This window comes from Homo sapiens, chromosome 1, assembly GCF_000001405.40.
Source record: "Homo sapiens chromosome 1, GRCh38.p14 Primary Assembly".
Classification (NCBI taxonomy): domain Eukaryota; kingdom Metazoa; phylum Chordata; class Mammalia; order Primates; family Hominidae; genus Homo; species Homo sapiens.
The window spans coordinates 225038366-225052329 of record NC_000001.11 but is presented as its reverse complement, the minus strand read 5'-3'; the positions used below and the strand labels follow the sequence as shown (position 1 = coordinate 225052329).

The following is a 13964-nucleotide window of genomic DNA, read 5'->3' as shown; positions in this document are numbered from 1 at the left end:
TCCCAGATCTTCATACTTTCTCAGCTTGGGAATCTCCATAGAGTCTCCAAACCACTGTGGTCCCAGAGGAGATCTGCCCACCCAGAATACTTGCTTAAAGAGGTCAGCCCTAATATACAGTGAAACTCCAATATTCATCTGTATTCAAAGATTTATCTTAGATACTCCATAGCTTGATGAAGCTTACATTCTAATGGAATAGATGATCAACAAACAAACAAATAAATAACATAATGTCCAGTAGTAATATATGTCATAAAGATAAAACAGGGAAAGAAGCAGGGAAGTGATAGGGAATGCAATAGATGTGATCAGAGAAGGTTTTCTGAGGAAGTGATATTTTATCAAAGATACAAACAAATGTAATACACATTAAAATTTTCTGAGTATAATATTTATGTATATCTTCATTTTTTCACCTTTATCATACTCTGCATGTGACATGATATCATATATTCTCTAAGTACATATTTTAAATTTAAAATTTACTAATCTGAAACATTCTTACACAATAAGAATTTTCAAAATACTTACTTCCAATAAATTTTTGTTCTTTTTTTCAATTACAGATTGTATGAGGGTGTGGCTCATATGTATGACGTTGTCAATATACAGTAAGCATTCTGATTGATAATCAAGACTTACAACGTTGAAAATACCAATACGCTTCTCAATGGCCATATTCACAATATGTCTAAAATAGTTTCTGAATCTATTTAGAATAGCTTCAAATTCTTTTGAAGTTAATTCTCCCATAGATGATATTTTCATACTCATGATTTTGGCCTTTTCTGTCATGGTACAATACTTTATAAACTTGTGGCTGTAAGCATTAACTAGGCCCATTGAATTACCAATAATAGTCAGGAGATTCACAATCTGTAAAGAAGAATGTTGAGATGTTAGTCAGAATTTTTATTTTAAGAGTGAAAAATGGTTTGGCATGCTAATAGTTTCTGACAAAATAAAATAATAGTGCTATGTGGAGTTTATTTTAAGAACCTCTATTAAAAATCGAAATATGTTGGAAACACAAGACTTTAAGAAATTTAGATGGCTTTCTAATATTTGGCTTTTACCTAAAGGCTTATTAGGCTATTTAACTTTATAATTAACATGTTATTTTGAGCCATGTACTGGAAACACCAATCATTTATCCCCTTGCTTATTACCCTGTTTTAGAGTATACTACGCTTAGCCCTAGAAAAGGCCAGTCCTCAACCCCCAGGCCAGAGAGCAGTGCCAGTCCACGGCCTGTTAGGAACTATGCCACACAGCAGGCGGTGAGTGGTGGGTGAGCAAGCATTACTGCCTCAGCTCCACTCCTGCAAGATCAGAAGTGGCATTAGATTCTCATAGGAGCTTGAACCCTATTGTGAACTGCACATGTGAGGGATCTAGGTTGTGCATCCCTTATCACAATCTAACTAATGCCTGATGAACTGAGGTGGAACAGTTTCATCTAGAAACCACCCCTCAGCTGCTGTCCATGGACAAACTGTATTCCACAAAACCAGTCCCTGGTGCCAAAAGGGTTAAGGGCCACTGGTATATAGTATGTGACCTCACCCAATTCACCAAAGACGTAACTATTTAGATAGGGTAGAATCCTAAATCAATCTAAGCCAATTAGATTCTCTTGTAAATTTGGACAAAAATACCCAGTTGATGCTAATGGAAAGAGTTGAGGTATGGCAAGTCAACAACTGACGAGCCTACGTTATGAGGTAGCCATAAAAGAGAAAACTTATTTTCACAGAAGTTGGAAAAATCACACAGAGGTGAGCAGCGATGACAGATCATGGGAAAAACAAATGGGGAGATAAGCTGGAAATGATTTTTCAATTGCTATGAATAGGATACCCTAATTTTTCAATAAATTCATTTCATTTAAGAATTCAGTGGGTTTCTGCTCCTTAAACATTTCCTAAAATGAACTGTTTTAAAACTTACTATATTTTGGTAGGCAGGATCTGTTTCAAAAAGGATGTGACAATCTGGCCATCTGGTCTGCTCTTTATAATGTATTATGCTTCCTGTCTTATTAGGTAAATCCATTATTGAAACCAAATCAATGAAGATAGACAGCTGGGGATCTTGGCAAAGAGGAGTAATTGTGGCTAAAATATATAATTTAAAAGTCAGTACTTCAGAAATGCCATTGAAAGCAACACTTCAAAATTATCCATGACATCTAGAACTATTGAAAATGGGGGCTGATTTATTATGAGGGTTAGACAATATTCTATATTTATAACTGGAATTTAAAAATAGGTGTAAGGATTTAGATTTAATACTATAGAAACAAAGAGCTACTCACAGGTAATTGAGTGGAGGTGATGGGAGGCATGATTGAAACATAAACTGAAAATAAGTCATTCAGTTTACAAATATTTGACACGTATCTGTTATGTGGAGAGCATTATACCATTACAAGGATATAAAAATCAGGAGACACAGCCTCAAGAGTTCACAGTCTAGCTGAACAACTGGATGTCCACAGGCATAGATAGATGATTGATAGATAGATAGATAGATAGATAGATAGATAGATAGGTAGATAGATAGACAGATAGATAAACAAACCTCAACCTAGACTTTACGCTTTATTAAAAAATTCAACTCAAGATGCATCATATACCTAAATATAAAACACAAATCCATAAATCTTCAAGGAGAAAATATAGGAGAGAAAATCTGTGTGATCTTGAGTTAGGCAAAAAGCTCTTAGAAACAAAACCAAAGGTATAACCCATAAAAGAAAAAAACTGATGAGCTGTACTTTATCAAAAGTAAGTAGTTTAGCGCTGTGAAAGACAATGAAAAGATAAGGCACAGATTGGGAGAAAATCTCACAAAGATTGTTTGCAAGTCATATGTATGATAAAAGAATTGTATTCAGAGTATGCATAAAGACCTCTCACAAACCAACAATAAGAAAACAAAAACCCCAATTAAAAAAAAATAGGTGCTGGGTGTGGTGGCCCCTGCATGTAATCCCAGCACTTTGGGAGGCCGAGGTGGGTGGATCACCAGGTCAGGAGTTCAAGACCAACATGGCCAAGATGGTGAAACCCCGTCTCTACTAAAAATACAAAAAAAATTAGCTGGGCGTGGTGGTGGGCCACCTGTAATCCCAGCTACTCAGGAGGTTGAAGCAGAGAATTGCTTGAACCTGGGAGGTGGAGGTTGCAGTGAGCCGAGATAGTGCCACTGCACTCCAGCCTGGGTGATAGAGCAAGACTCCATCTCAAAAAAAAAAAAAAAAAAAAAAAAAAAAAATAGGCAAGAGATCTAAAAAGACATTTGGCAAAATAAGATATGCAGATGGAAAACTAGCATAATAAAAGATGAACAATATCATTTGTTACTAGTGAAATGAAAATTACCACAATAAGATATCACTACACACCTATTAGAAGGCTAAAAGCTTTTTGTTTTTGTTTTTAATCTGGCAATACCAAGTGCTGGCAAAGATATGGAGCAACTGGAATTCATAGATTGCTGGTAAGAATGCAAAATGATACAACCACTTTGCAAAACAGTCTGGCCATTCTCATAATGTTAAATATATTACTACCATATGCCCCATCAATCCTACCCCTAGATATTTGTCCAAGAAAAAGGAAAATTTGGATTAATCCAAAAGCCTATATGTGAATGTGTATAGCAATTTTATATATAATTTCCCCAAACTGGAGACAACCCAGATGTGAATGGATAAGCAATCTGCGATACATCCAAACAGTTGAATACAGCATAGCAATTTAAAAAAAGACTATTGAATCATGTAACAACATGGATAATTATTTTTTATTTTTTATTTTTTGAGACAGGGTCTTGCACTGTCACTCAGGCTGGAGTACAGTGGTACAATTTTGGCTCACTGCGCCTTGACCTCCTGGGCTCAGGCCGTCCTCCTGCCTCAGCCTCCCAAGTAGCTGGGATTACAGGTGCGTGCCACAATGCCTGGCTAATTTTTTGTATATTTTGTAGAGACAGGGTTTCACCATCTTGCCTAGGCTGGTCTTGAACTCCTGAGCTCATGTGATCCACCCACCTGGGCCTCCCAAAGTGCTGGGATTACAGGCATGAACCTCTGTACATGGCCAACATAGCTGAATTTGAAATGCATTTTTCTAAGTGAAAGAAGCCAGATCCAAAAAGCTACATATGCATTTATATGACATTATGGAAATGCCATAACAATAGGGACAGAAAACAGATGAGTGGTTGCCACAGATAAGGGAATGGAGAGAGTGTGACTACAAAAGGGCTGCACAAGGGAACTGGGGGATGATGGAACTGTTTTGTATGGAACTGTGATGGTGGATATGTACCTGTGCACTTGTCAAAACCCTTAACACCACCCACAAAGAGAAAATTGTACTTTATATAAGTTTTAAAACATCAACCAGGTTACTGAAAGAATCCAAGTTGGAATGCAGATTGTGACAAATTAATCTAACTATTACAAACTACATAACCTCATTGAAGAGGGTGGGAAAGAAAAGGGTTGACTTAAGCAACTTTAGAAAACAAGTTTGGACTGGAAACTGTTAAGGTTACATTTTTAAAAAACTGTACATAAACACAAACACTGTATTTTAGTTGATACATTTGTTTTTCGCAGAAGCAAGGAGTAGCAATTCTGAAATTACATGTACAGTAATGCAATTAATGACAGGGATATATTCTGAGAAGTGTGTCCTTAGGCAATTTCATCATTGTGTGACTATCATAGATTGTACTTACACAAAGCTAGATAGTATAGCCTACTACACACCTAGGCTATATGGTATACCCTGTTGCCCTAGCTACAAACTTTTACTGCATATTACTATACTGAATATTGTAGGCAATTGTAAAATAGTGGTAAGGATTATATATTGAAACATAGAAAAGATACAGCAAAAGTATGGTATTATAATCTTATGGGACTACCATGTGGTCTGTCATTGATTGAACCATCTTTATGCAGTGCATGACTGTATAACAAACAAGTAACTATGTTGTTGATTATGTCAGCCAGATTTCTCATAGCCAGAGAAAAAAGTTAGATATAAGGAAAAGAAAAGGCTAGAATGAACCCTGAGGTATTGGATTGGGGTCTGAGGTATCAGTATGAATTCAGTTTAAAATGGACAAACAAAAAGATCTAGGAATAAATATAGTTGTGTGTGTATGCATGAGCTAGCATACATACATATATTTTCTAGATATTTTCTCTGGTAGGCCAGGAAGTAGTGACACTCCTGTAGCAATGAGCACATCTAGTGCATAGATCTTAGTTCCTAAATTTCCTTCTCTAATCCAGGGTTCCTTGGAGAAACAGTTAATTTCAGGGCTGGGGCAGAGAAAATACAAGATGAGCCTGAAGTATCTTGAGGTGACGGAAACTAAGGAAGTAGTCACAAGACAAGGATGGAGGTATATTGAAGGGCACAGGAGCCAACTGGGGAGAATTACTCTTCCAAAATTAAGCCAGAACAACTTGAGCAACAAAATAAATAACAGTAATACTGTATTATAGTCTAAAGACCAAAATAAATATCAATGAACCCAGGAAATTTCCAAGGAAAAAAGAGAGAAAAAGGAGACGGCTAACAGATGCTAAAAATAGTACAAAGCTACCTAATAACTAACACAGTATAATACTGGTACATAAGTTACAGACATATCATCTGCATAGCCCAGAAATACAATGGAAAACATTCTGGAAAATAAAAAATGATAAATGTGGCATTTCAAATCAGTGGGGATAAGGAATGGATTATTCAATTCATGATGCTAGGACAGACAGATCATTAGTCATCTGAGAAAAATTAAAAGTGAAGTCCTACTTCACAACATACGCCAGATAAATCTCAGAGTGAACAAATATTTAAATATAAAAATGAAATCATAATAGAATTAGAAAATAAGTGAGAGAATGTTTTTATAATATGATCATTGGGAAGTCCTCTCTTATGATACCATATCCTGAAGCCTTTTAGAAGAGGTTCTAAATACCTTTGTAATGTCTATGATATAATGCTAAGTGATCATATAACATTTAAAATATACATTTGACTAATGTATGAATATGAATGTAAATTGCAAAAGAAAATAATTGTTATATATGGGTAGTTGAAATGGGGTGATTTAAATGACTATTTCTAAGGTAAATATATATACACACATATATACATACCTATGTATATTTATATACATATATACATATTATCATATATATGCAAATATTAGTGAATCCATATTCATATAAATAAATGACTGAAAAATTAAATAAATGGAAAAGGAACAGCTACTCCTTACAGAAGAATTCTAATTCATGAATGTATATGGGATGAAAGAAATAGAAAATCACCATTAAGAACACCACAGTAATAACTTGCAGGCAAGGTAAGATCCACTGATAAATGTTAGAATTAGTGGGCAAAATTTTCAGGAGAAACAAGATATCTGTATAATCTCAAAATCTCTCCTCCCACCCCAAGTTTATTAGTTACAGGAGGAAATATGGTAACTTCATCATGGAGAAACCTGGCAGACATGACTTTAACTAAGTGGTCATGGTGAGCAGCACCAGTGAAAAGGTATATCAATGTCATGTACTACTAGGCTGATGTACTGAAAAGGGCACACACCCAGTATGGTATTCTCCCTCAAGATGTATATCCTCAAACTCATCATGAGACAACATCAGACAATCCAAAACTGATGGACAATCTGTAGAGTAAATTACCAGTATCTCAAGGTCATAAAAGACAAGGAAAGACTGAGCAACTGGTACACACTGGAAAAGACTTAGCAGACATAACAACTATTAATATATGCAATGTGTGATCCGGGATTAGATCCTGGCACAGAAAATGAACATTAGGGAAACAACTGGGAAAATCCAAATAAAATCTATCATTTCATTAATACTATTATACTAATATTAATTTCTTCATTTTCATAACTAGATTAAAGCATATAAAGAGTATACAGAAACTCTGTACTACGCTTCCAACTTATAGAAGTCTCAAATTATCTCATTATAGAAACTTAAAAAAAAAACAGTAGAAACATTTCATAATAAAGAAAAAAGAAATAGAAATAATCAGATGTTTAGACCCAGGAAATCTAAGATGAAAAACAAAAAATCCAAAGGGAAAAAAAGGAACATATGGAAAGATTGGTAAGAACTTAGTTCTTCAGACTGAAGAGCCTCACTGGATTTTAAGAAAGATCAACATAGAATTATATATATGGCTTTATTATAGAAAAGTTCGTAACTCCAAATGATAAATTACTAGACAGAAATCACAAGTATACAAAGGAAGGAGAATCAGAGTAGCATCAGACTTCTTATTTACATTATTAAAAGCTAGAAGGCAGTAGAACAAATCTATGGGCACTGAATAAAATGAGTATGGGAGGGGTCATCCCAACAAGAGAGCACAGTTGTTTAGAATGTCTGTAAGTGTATAATGTTGCAAGATACTAATATCTCTGGATTTTACTCAGCAAGAAACCCTTACCAAACTGATTCAAAATGGACTGGGTAAAAAATTATAACAACTTTGTGATAATTCTTGGTTTTAAAACAAACCCATGTTCTTATGCACATTTCATCTTCATAATACAATGCAAACTTTAAAATAAATATGAGATGTCAAGGGACATACTGACTACCTTTCAGCCAGTTTGGGGGAATGGAGTAACTTAATATGTGGTGGTAGTTACAAAGCATAGTGAAAAAGACTGAATTACTGGGACTTGCATAAACAAAATCAAACAATGCATTAGACACCAGCTTAGCTTGGAAATAGGGGCCCTCTGAACTCAGCAAACTATGGTGACATGACTGGAGAATGATGCAACTTTTAAGAAGTTGCCAAAACTCCTGCTGTTTTAAGATCTTTGTAAAACTTATTGTGAGAAAAGAATAAATTCTTTGGTCAGGCTAGTAATTGCCTGCAATTTCAGATTGTGTACATACAGCTGCAAAATAATTAAAGTCTCTTTAAGGTAGAAACAATATCTTTGTTATACTATGACATAAAAGATCTTGCTCATTTGTATTAAGTGTCATAACATTCTATAGAATGTAACTGAAAAAATCCAAACCTTGAATATTTTCCTAATTCTCATCTTTTATGCACTCTAAGGCCATGTGTAAAATTCACACATCCTCAAATAATTCCAAATTCAGTGTTTGATCCCAAGGACTGTGCATTTATGATATACTAATATTCTGTAACATCTGCCACATCCCTGGGTAAAGGCATCAGATGCTTAAATTTAAAAAAATATTGCCAAAGAAGACAATGCATTTCACTAAGCTTTAAAAACACTTACTTATACATTTTTCCATATTAGTCAACATATTTTGAATTTTTACTGAAAACTCCAATCTGTTGGGATCTATAAAGAGATTTGTAGGAAATTCTGGAAATCTAACAGAGAAAACAATAAAAGCATATTTCAGAGGAATATAATAACTACCATATAAAATACAATTACTCGTAATTTTTAAAATGTCTAATACTTACTCATAATACATGTATTTATTCTCAAACTCAGTCTCAATTTCTGTGTCTATTAGAATCCATTGAAAGAAAGAGAAAATACAAAATTGATTGATATTTATATCAGGTAAATGACAAATTAATATATGCCAGTGCTTTACACATATCCTAAGAATAAACTCAAGAAGTCACTTGAAACACAATACTGAAGCAGTACACCCCATTCCAAGGTTCTGATTAAAGAGATCTGAGGACAAACATCCTAGATGTTGTTCCTCTTGATGAACGGGGCCCTCGGCTCTGCTTCAGTGAGAAACTGTTTGGGTTTTGAGATGAAAATGAATAATGGTGTCATTACTGACATGCACAACAATGATCTGTAAGTTTATCCTTACTTTTAGCAGTATTTACCTTAAGATTTATAAAATCATAATCTATAAATTAGAAGACACAACAGACTATTAAAATGATCTCTCATTTGTTATTTTCCAGTTGTTAAGATATTTCCCTCCATTCTTTTTTTTTTTTTTTTTTTTTCCCCAAGAGACAAGAGACAAGGTCTCACTGTGTTGCCCAGGCTGGTCTCAAACTTCTGGCATCAAGTGATCCTCCCACCTCAGCCTCCCAGAGTGCCAGGATTGCAGGCATGAGCCACCACACCTGGCAACCCCTCATTCTTTATAGTCTCAATTGTCTTACCTGAAATAATATCTTCAAGATTGTAACTAATTTCTTTTGATTTCTTGGCTTTTGGGAGCAATTCTTCACTTGAGTGTTTTTTGACACAATTGTCTTTATTTTCTGACATTTCATCTTCAAACATCACACACTCTTCAGGGCACTGGTCAGACTCATGAAAGTTCTCTTTAGAATTTTCTGAAGAATCACTCTCAGCAGGAATTCTCAAGCATAGATTTACTTCAAATATTGGTGCATATGTTTTTCTCAAATCCTTCCCCACTTCAACACTATTCAAAATCTAATTTAACGGATAATGTGAGGGTGCCAGTGACAACATATAACTTACAGAACATTTAATTTAGAATACAGACCAAAATTTTAAATGAGAAATCATAACTCCAGTATAACCGAGTAACACTGTATTACCAAATACCTGACACTTGCATGTTAAAATAAGTAAATTGCATGTGAAACAAATGACATTGTAATGAAGGAGTTCCCCCCAAAGACTGTAAATTGATGCCAGAGTCAGTATATCATTAGTCCTAGTCACTGAGTGCCTATTTAAAATACAAATTCTTAGGTCCTATCCCCAGAGATATTGAGTTAAAAAGTCAGAGGCAGGGCCCAGGACTCTTAATCATCTACAAGCTCAACAGGTGACTCTATTGTGCACCTGGGTTTAAGAACTACAAATCTAGAAAACATACTTTAAACCCACTAGAGTAAGTCCTAGCTCTTCACTTTAATATACATATACTAACATGGACATCTCCAGTGAAAAACACTAGGGGATAAATATCTCATTTATGTAAATAATTGTTCTTAGGCTCTGTCTGGGCTTGGGTTCTCAATTAATCTACTGTTCCTTCCTACATCATAAATAATCCGTTATGCTTAAGTTACCTACTGCATAATGACTCCTCTGTGTTTCTCAGGGTGATCACTTGAATAATCTGCTGGAACCTTAACCTCTAATTCCAGACATTAACAAATTAAGGCAGTTAACGTTATAAATAAACCTCATAGCACCTTATTAAGCTGCCGGTGAAAGAGCATGAGTAGATATTGAAGGTGACTTGCAAATCTTAAATGTTCACACAAATGGGTATAGTGTTTGTTCAGGATGATGGAAAAGCTGTAGAAATGGAAAGTGGTGATGGTTGCCTAACACTGAATGTACCTAATACCACCAAACTGTACACCTAAAAACGGTTAAATGGAAAATTTTATGTTATGTATGTTTTATCACAATAAAAGAAAGTCCACCCAGACAATTCTTAATAAATATATAATGTGCTGCTTAGCTTATTCTCGAAAATAACCTCTAACTAACTCTGGGAATACTGGACCTCAAGCTATATATACCTTCTAATATTACTGCATTTAAATATTTTGCATTAAATCATTCTTTAAATGTAATTATGGTTACAGTGAATGAGTATCACTATAGTAAACAAGTTACTACCTTCACCTAATCCTCATAAAAACCCCAAGAGACAGAAATTATTACTCTCATTGCACATACAAAAAAAATCTGAAAGCTTAATTTGTCAAAGGCTATATTGCTAGCATGTGGTAAGGCTGAAGTTCACTCATGGGTCTGTGCACATCGTTATAATATGAACTAACTGGGGCCTGAAAATATTTTTGTAGTGAAGAAATCTCTTAGCTGTTACACTTTTTGTGACAACAAGAATGAACCAGTAAATAGTTTTATTTCCTCTAGATTGTAAACTACAAGAGAGGAATAGCCACAGCTAAATGGAACTGTAAATTTTACAGATTACAATGGGGATTAGGAAGGGAAGGAGGAGGCAGCACCAATGATTACCAGATCCACAACTTTAGCTCTTATCTCTCGCTTGAGATTCAGATCTATATTTTCAACATTTTGAGCTCTGTACAGTAAAAAAGAGGAGCAAACCAAGGTCAGATACTAGAGGGCAAAGCAGGGGCAAGATGCCCAAACTTGGGCTATGGGACAAAAGTGGACATAAATTTAGGCCACCTTAGTGGCAGTCTGCTCGTTCATGCAGCCTGTGTCCAAATCTCCACTCTGTCAGCCTGCATTGAACCCACACATGTATATATACATATATGAAATAGATGCGTGAATCTTATTGGTTCTGTCCCTCAGGAGAACCCTAATGCAAGTTACATGAAAAAATGCTCAAACTAGTAATAAGGGAAATTCAAATTAAAACTTTGGCAAAATGCCATTTCACACCTATCTGATTGACATTAAATATTGATGAGGATTAGTAAGCTTATGGAGCAATAAAAATTTATGAATTGCTAAAGGTCATTGAAATTGGTACAAGCATTTTAGAAAAACAATTTTATATTACTCAATACAGTTGAAAATAACATATGCTTTCACCCAGAAATTTCACTCCTTAGCAGTAAATAAAGAAATAGTAACTCTTGTTCATATACACCAAAGGAGAAATATACAGGAATGTGCAAGGCAGAATTATAGGTAATAGCAAAAACAAAAACTGAAAATAACCCAGATGTCTATCAACAGTGGAATGGTAAGTGAACTGTTTCATCAATAAAGGATGAATAGGAGACATTGAATACTTTTAAGTTGGGTGAAGCCTACATGAGTGTTTGCTTATTTTTGCAGGTATCGTATACTTAATAAAAAACATTAAAAAAATACATATGCATTGTACAAAATTTAGACTATCTAGAAATATACATATACGAAAGTAAAATTACTCAAGATTCCTACCACCCACAGATAACCATTGTTAATATTTCGATGCATATATTTTCAAACTTCAAACTACATAGTGTGTATGTTGTATATGTTTGTTTTCACTAATACATGTGAATATTTTTCCTTGTCATCAAATCTACCTAAATACTTTAAAAAGAAAAGATATGGCCGGGCGCAGTGGCTCATGCCTGTAATCCCAACACTTCGGGAGGCCGAGGCGGGCAGATCACGAGGTCAGGAGATCAAGACCATCCTGGCTAACACGGTGAAACCCCGTCTCTACTAAAAATACAAAAAATATTAGCTGGGCATGGTGGTGGGCACCTGTAGTCCCAGCTACTCGGGAGGCTGAGGCAGGAGAATGGCGTGAACCCAGGAGGCGGAGCTTGCAGTGAGTCGAGATCACACCACAGCACTCCAGCCTGGGAGACAGAGCAACACTCCACCTCAAGAAAAAAAAAAAAAGAAAAGATAACTATAAAGGCCATATTACACAAGGCTACTTTTTTTTTTTTTTTTTTTTTTTTGAGACGGAGTCTCGCTCTGTCGCCCAGGCTGGAGTGCAGTGGCGGGATCTCGGCTCACTGCAAGCTCCGCCTCCCGGGTTCATGCCATTCTCCTGCCTCAGCCTCCCAAGTAGCTGGGACTACAGGCGCCCGCCACTACGCCCGGCTAATTTTTTGTATTTTTAGTAGAGACGGGGTACAAGGCTACTTTTACCAAATAGGATAAGCACTTAACATATAAAGTTTAAATCTCAAGAAAATAATACCAACGGAGAGAAAAACAATTCTGGCAAGAAAAGATTTCTTTTTTTTTTTCATACTAAAGAGAATTTTCATATTTATTCATAAAATAAATGAGATATATTTCCAGCTGATCTCTTCCAAAGTTCTTTATATGGTTGTTTAAAAATAAATCAAAACATAACAGATACATTTGATGGGTAATAAGCATTTTACATTCTGTAATAAATTTTAGAAGATATTAGGGGCAATTCTAAAAAAAAATAAGTTTATCTAGGATTCCTTCAAGGTTTCCTATTTTGCTTCTCCCATTTTTAAGTTAAGAACACAACAAAAATGCTTTGAACAAAAGCAAAGACAGAGTAGTGTAGCAGTGGGAGGAGGGGGTAGATGCTACTTTACATAGGGTGGCCTTCCCTTACCATTCCTATGTAAAATAGCATACAACATCACTCCTGCATTCCCTTTTTTTCCATTATTTTTCTTCACAGTACTCATCACTTCATTTATCTGTCTCCTCTGGTAAAATATAAGCTCCAAGAGGTCAGAGAATTTGGTATGCCCACTGCTGTTATTTCAGTGCCTACCTAGTTCAGTGCCTGGAACATAGTAAGTACTCAATAAACCATGTGGTGAATGAATGAACAAATGAACTAAATGAGATAAGTGTCAATATGGCTTTTTACAGTGGGAGCAGCTAAGTGTGTGTGTGTGTTGGCGAGGGTATGTTGGGTAAGGGCTTGTGGGTATTAATCATAAATCACATTTTAAATTTTAAAATGTATTCATTTTATAGCAAAAAATCTATGTTTATATTTTTCAAAGATCATTTTACCTCATTAATATCAGTGTCTGTTTTTACTTCTGACTTTTGAACAGAAATAGCATGTAACTTTGAATTATCAACAAGTTCTTCACAATCATTTGTTGTCTTTCCAGTAGGAAAAGAGTTGTCCTTGAATGTTCTGGATTAAGAAATGGGAAGAAAAAAATCATTTAAAAATCATTTATATCTACATATATAAAGAACACCTACAACTCAACAACAAAAAGCAACCCAATTAAAAAACAGGCAAAGGACCTGACTAGACCTTTCTGCAAAGAAGATACACAAATGGACAATAAGCACAAGAAAAGATGCTTAATATCACTAATCATTAGGGAAATGTAATCCATAACACACTGAGATACTATATCACCTCATACCCATTAGGATGGCTATTAAAAAAAACAGAAAATAATAAATAATAAATGTTGGCTAGGGTTGGAAGTACAAGGAGAGTACAGACCACC

General features: G+C 35.1%; 1 protein-coding gene across 21 annotated transcripts in view; it reads right to left on the bottom strand.

The window, feature by feature from the left end:
* Window positions 1–13964, bottom strand: part of DNAH14 (dynein axonemal heavy chain 14) — a 469633-nt gene that overhangs the window by 346957 nt on the left and 108712 nt on the right. For 18 of the 21 annotated variants that reach the window (XM_011544062.3, XM_011544067.3, XM_017000296.2 and 15 more), the window contains 6 exons: window positions 13507–13636; window positions 9216–9495; window positions 8541–8586; window positions 8347–8444; window positions 1954–2120; window positions 535–879 (listed from right to left, as the gene is read on the bottom strand). The exons of 1 other annotated variant lie outside the window; for it this stretch is intronic. In XM_011544062.3, coding sequence (XP_011542364.1) covers window positions 535–879; window positions 1954–2120; window positions 8347–8444; window positions 8541–8586; window positions 9216–9495; window positions 13507–13636 — 1066 coding nt within the window. Of the gene's footprint in view, window positions 1–534; window positions 880–1953; window positions 2121–8346; window positions 8445–8540; window positions 8587–9215; window positions 12144–13506; window positions 13637–13964 lie in introns of those variants that run through there. 2 more of the 21 variants (XM_011544070.3, XM_011544073.3) reach the window with 2 other exon arrangements.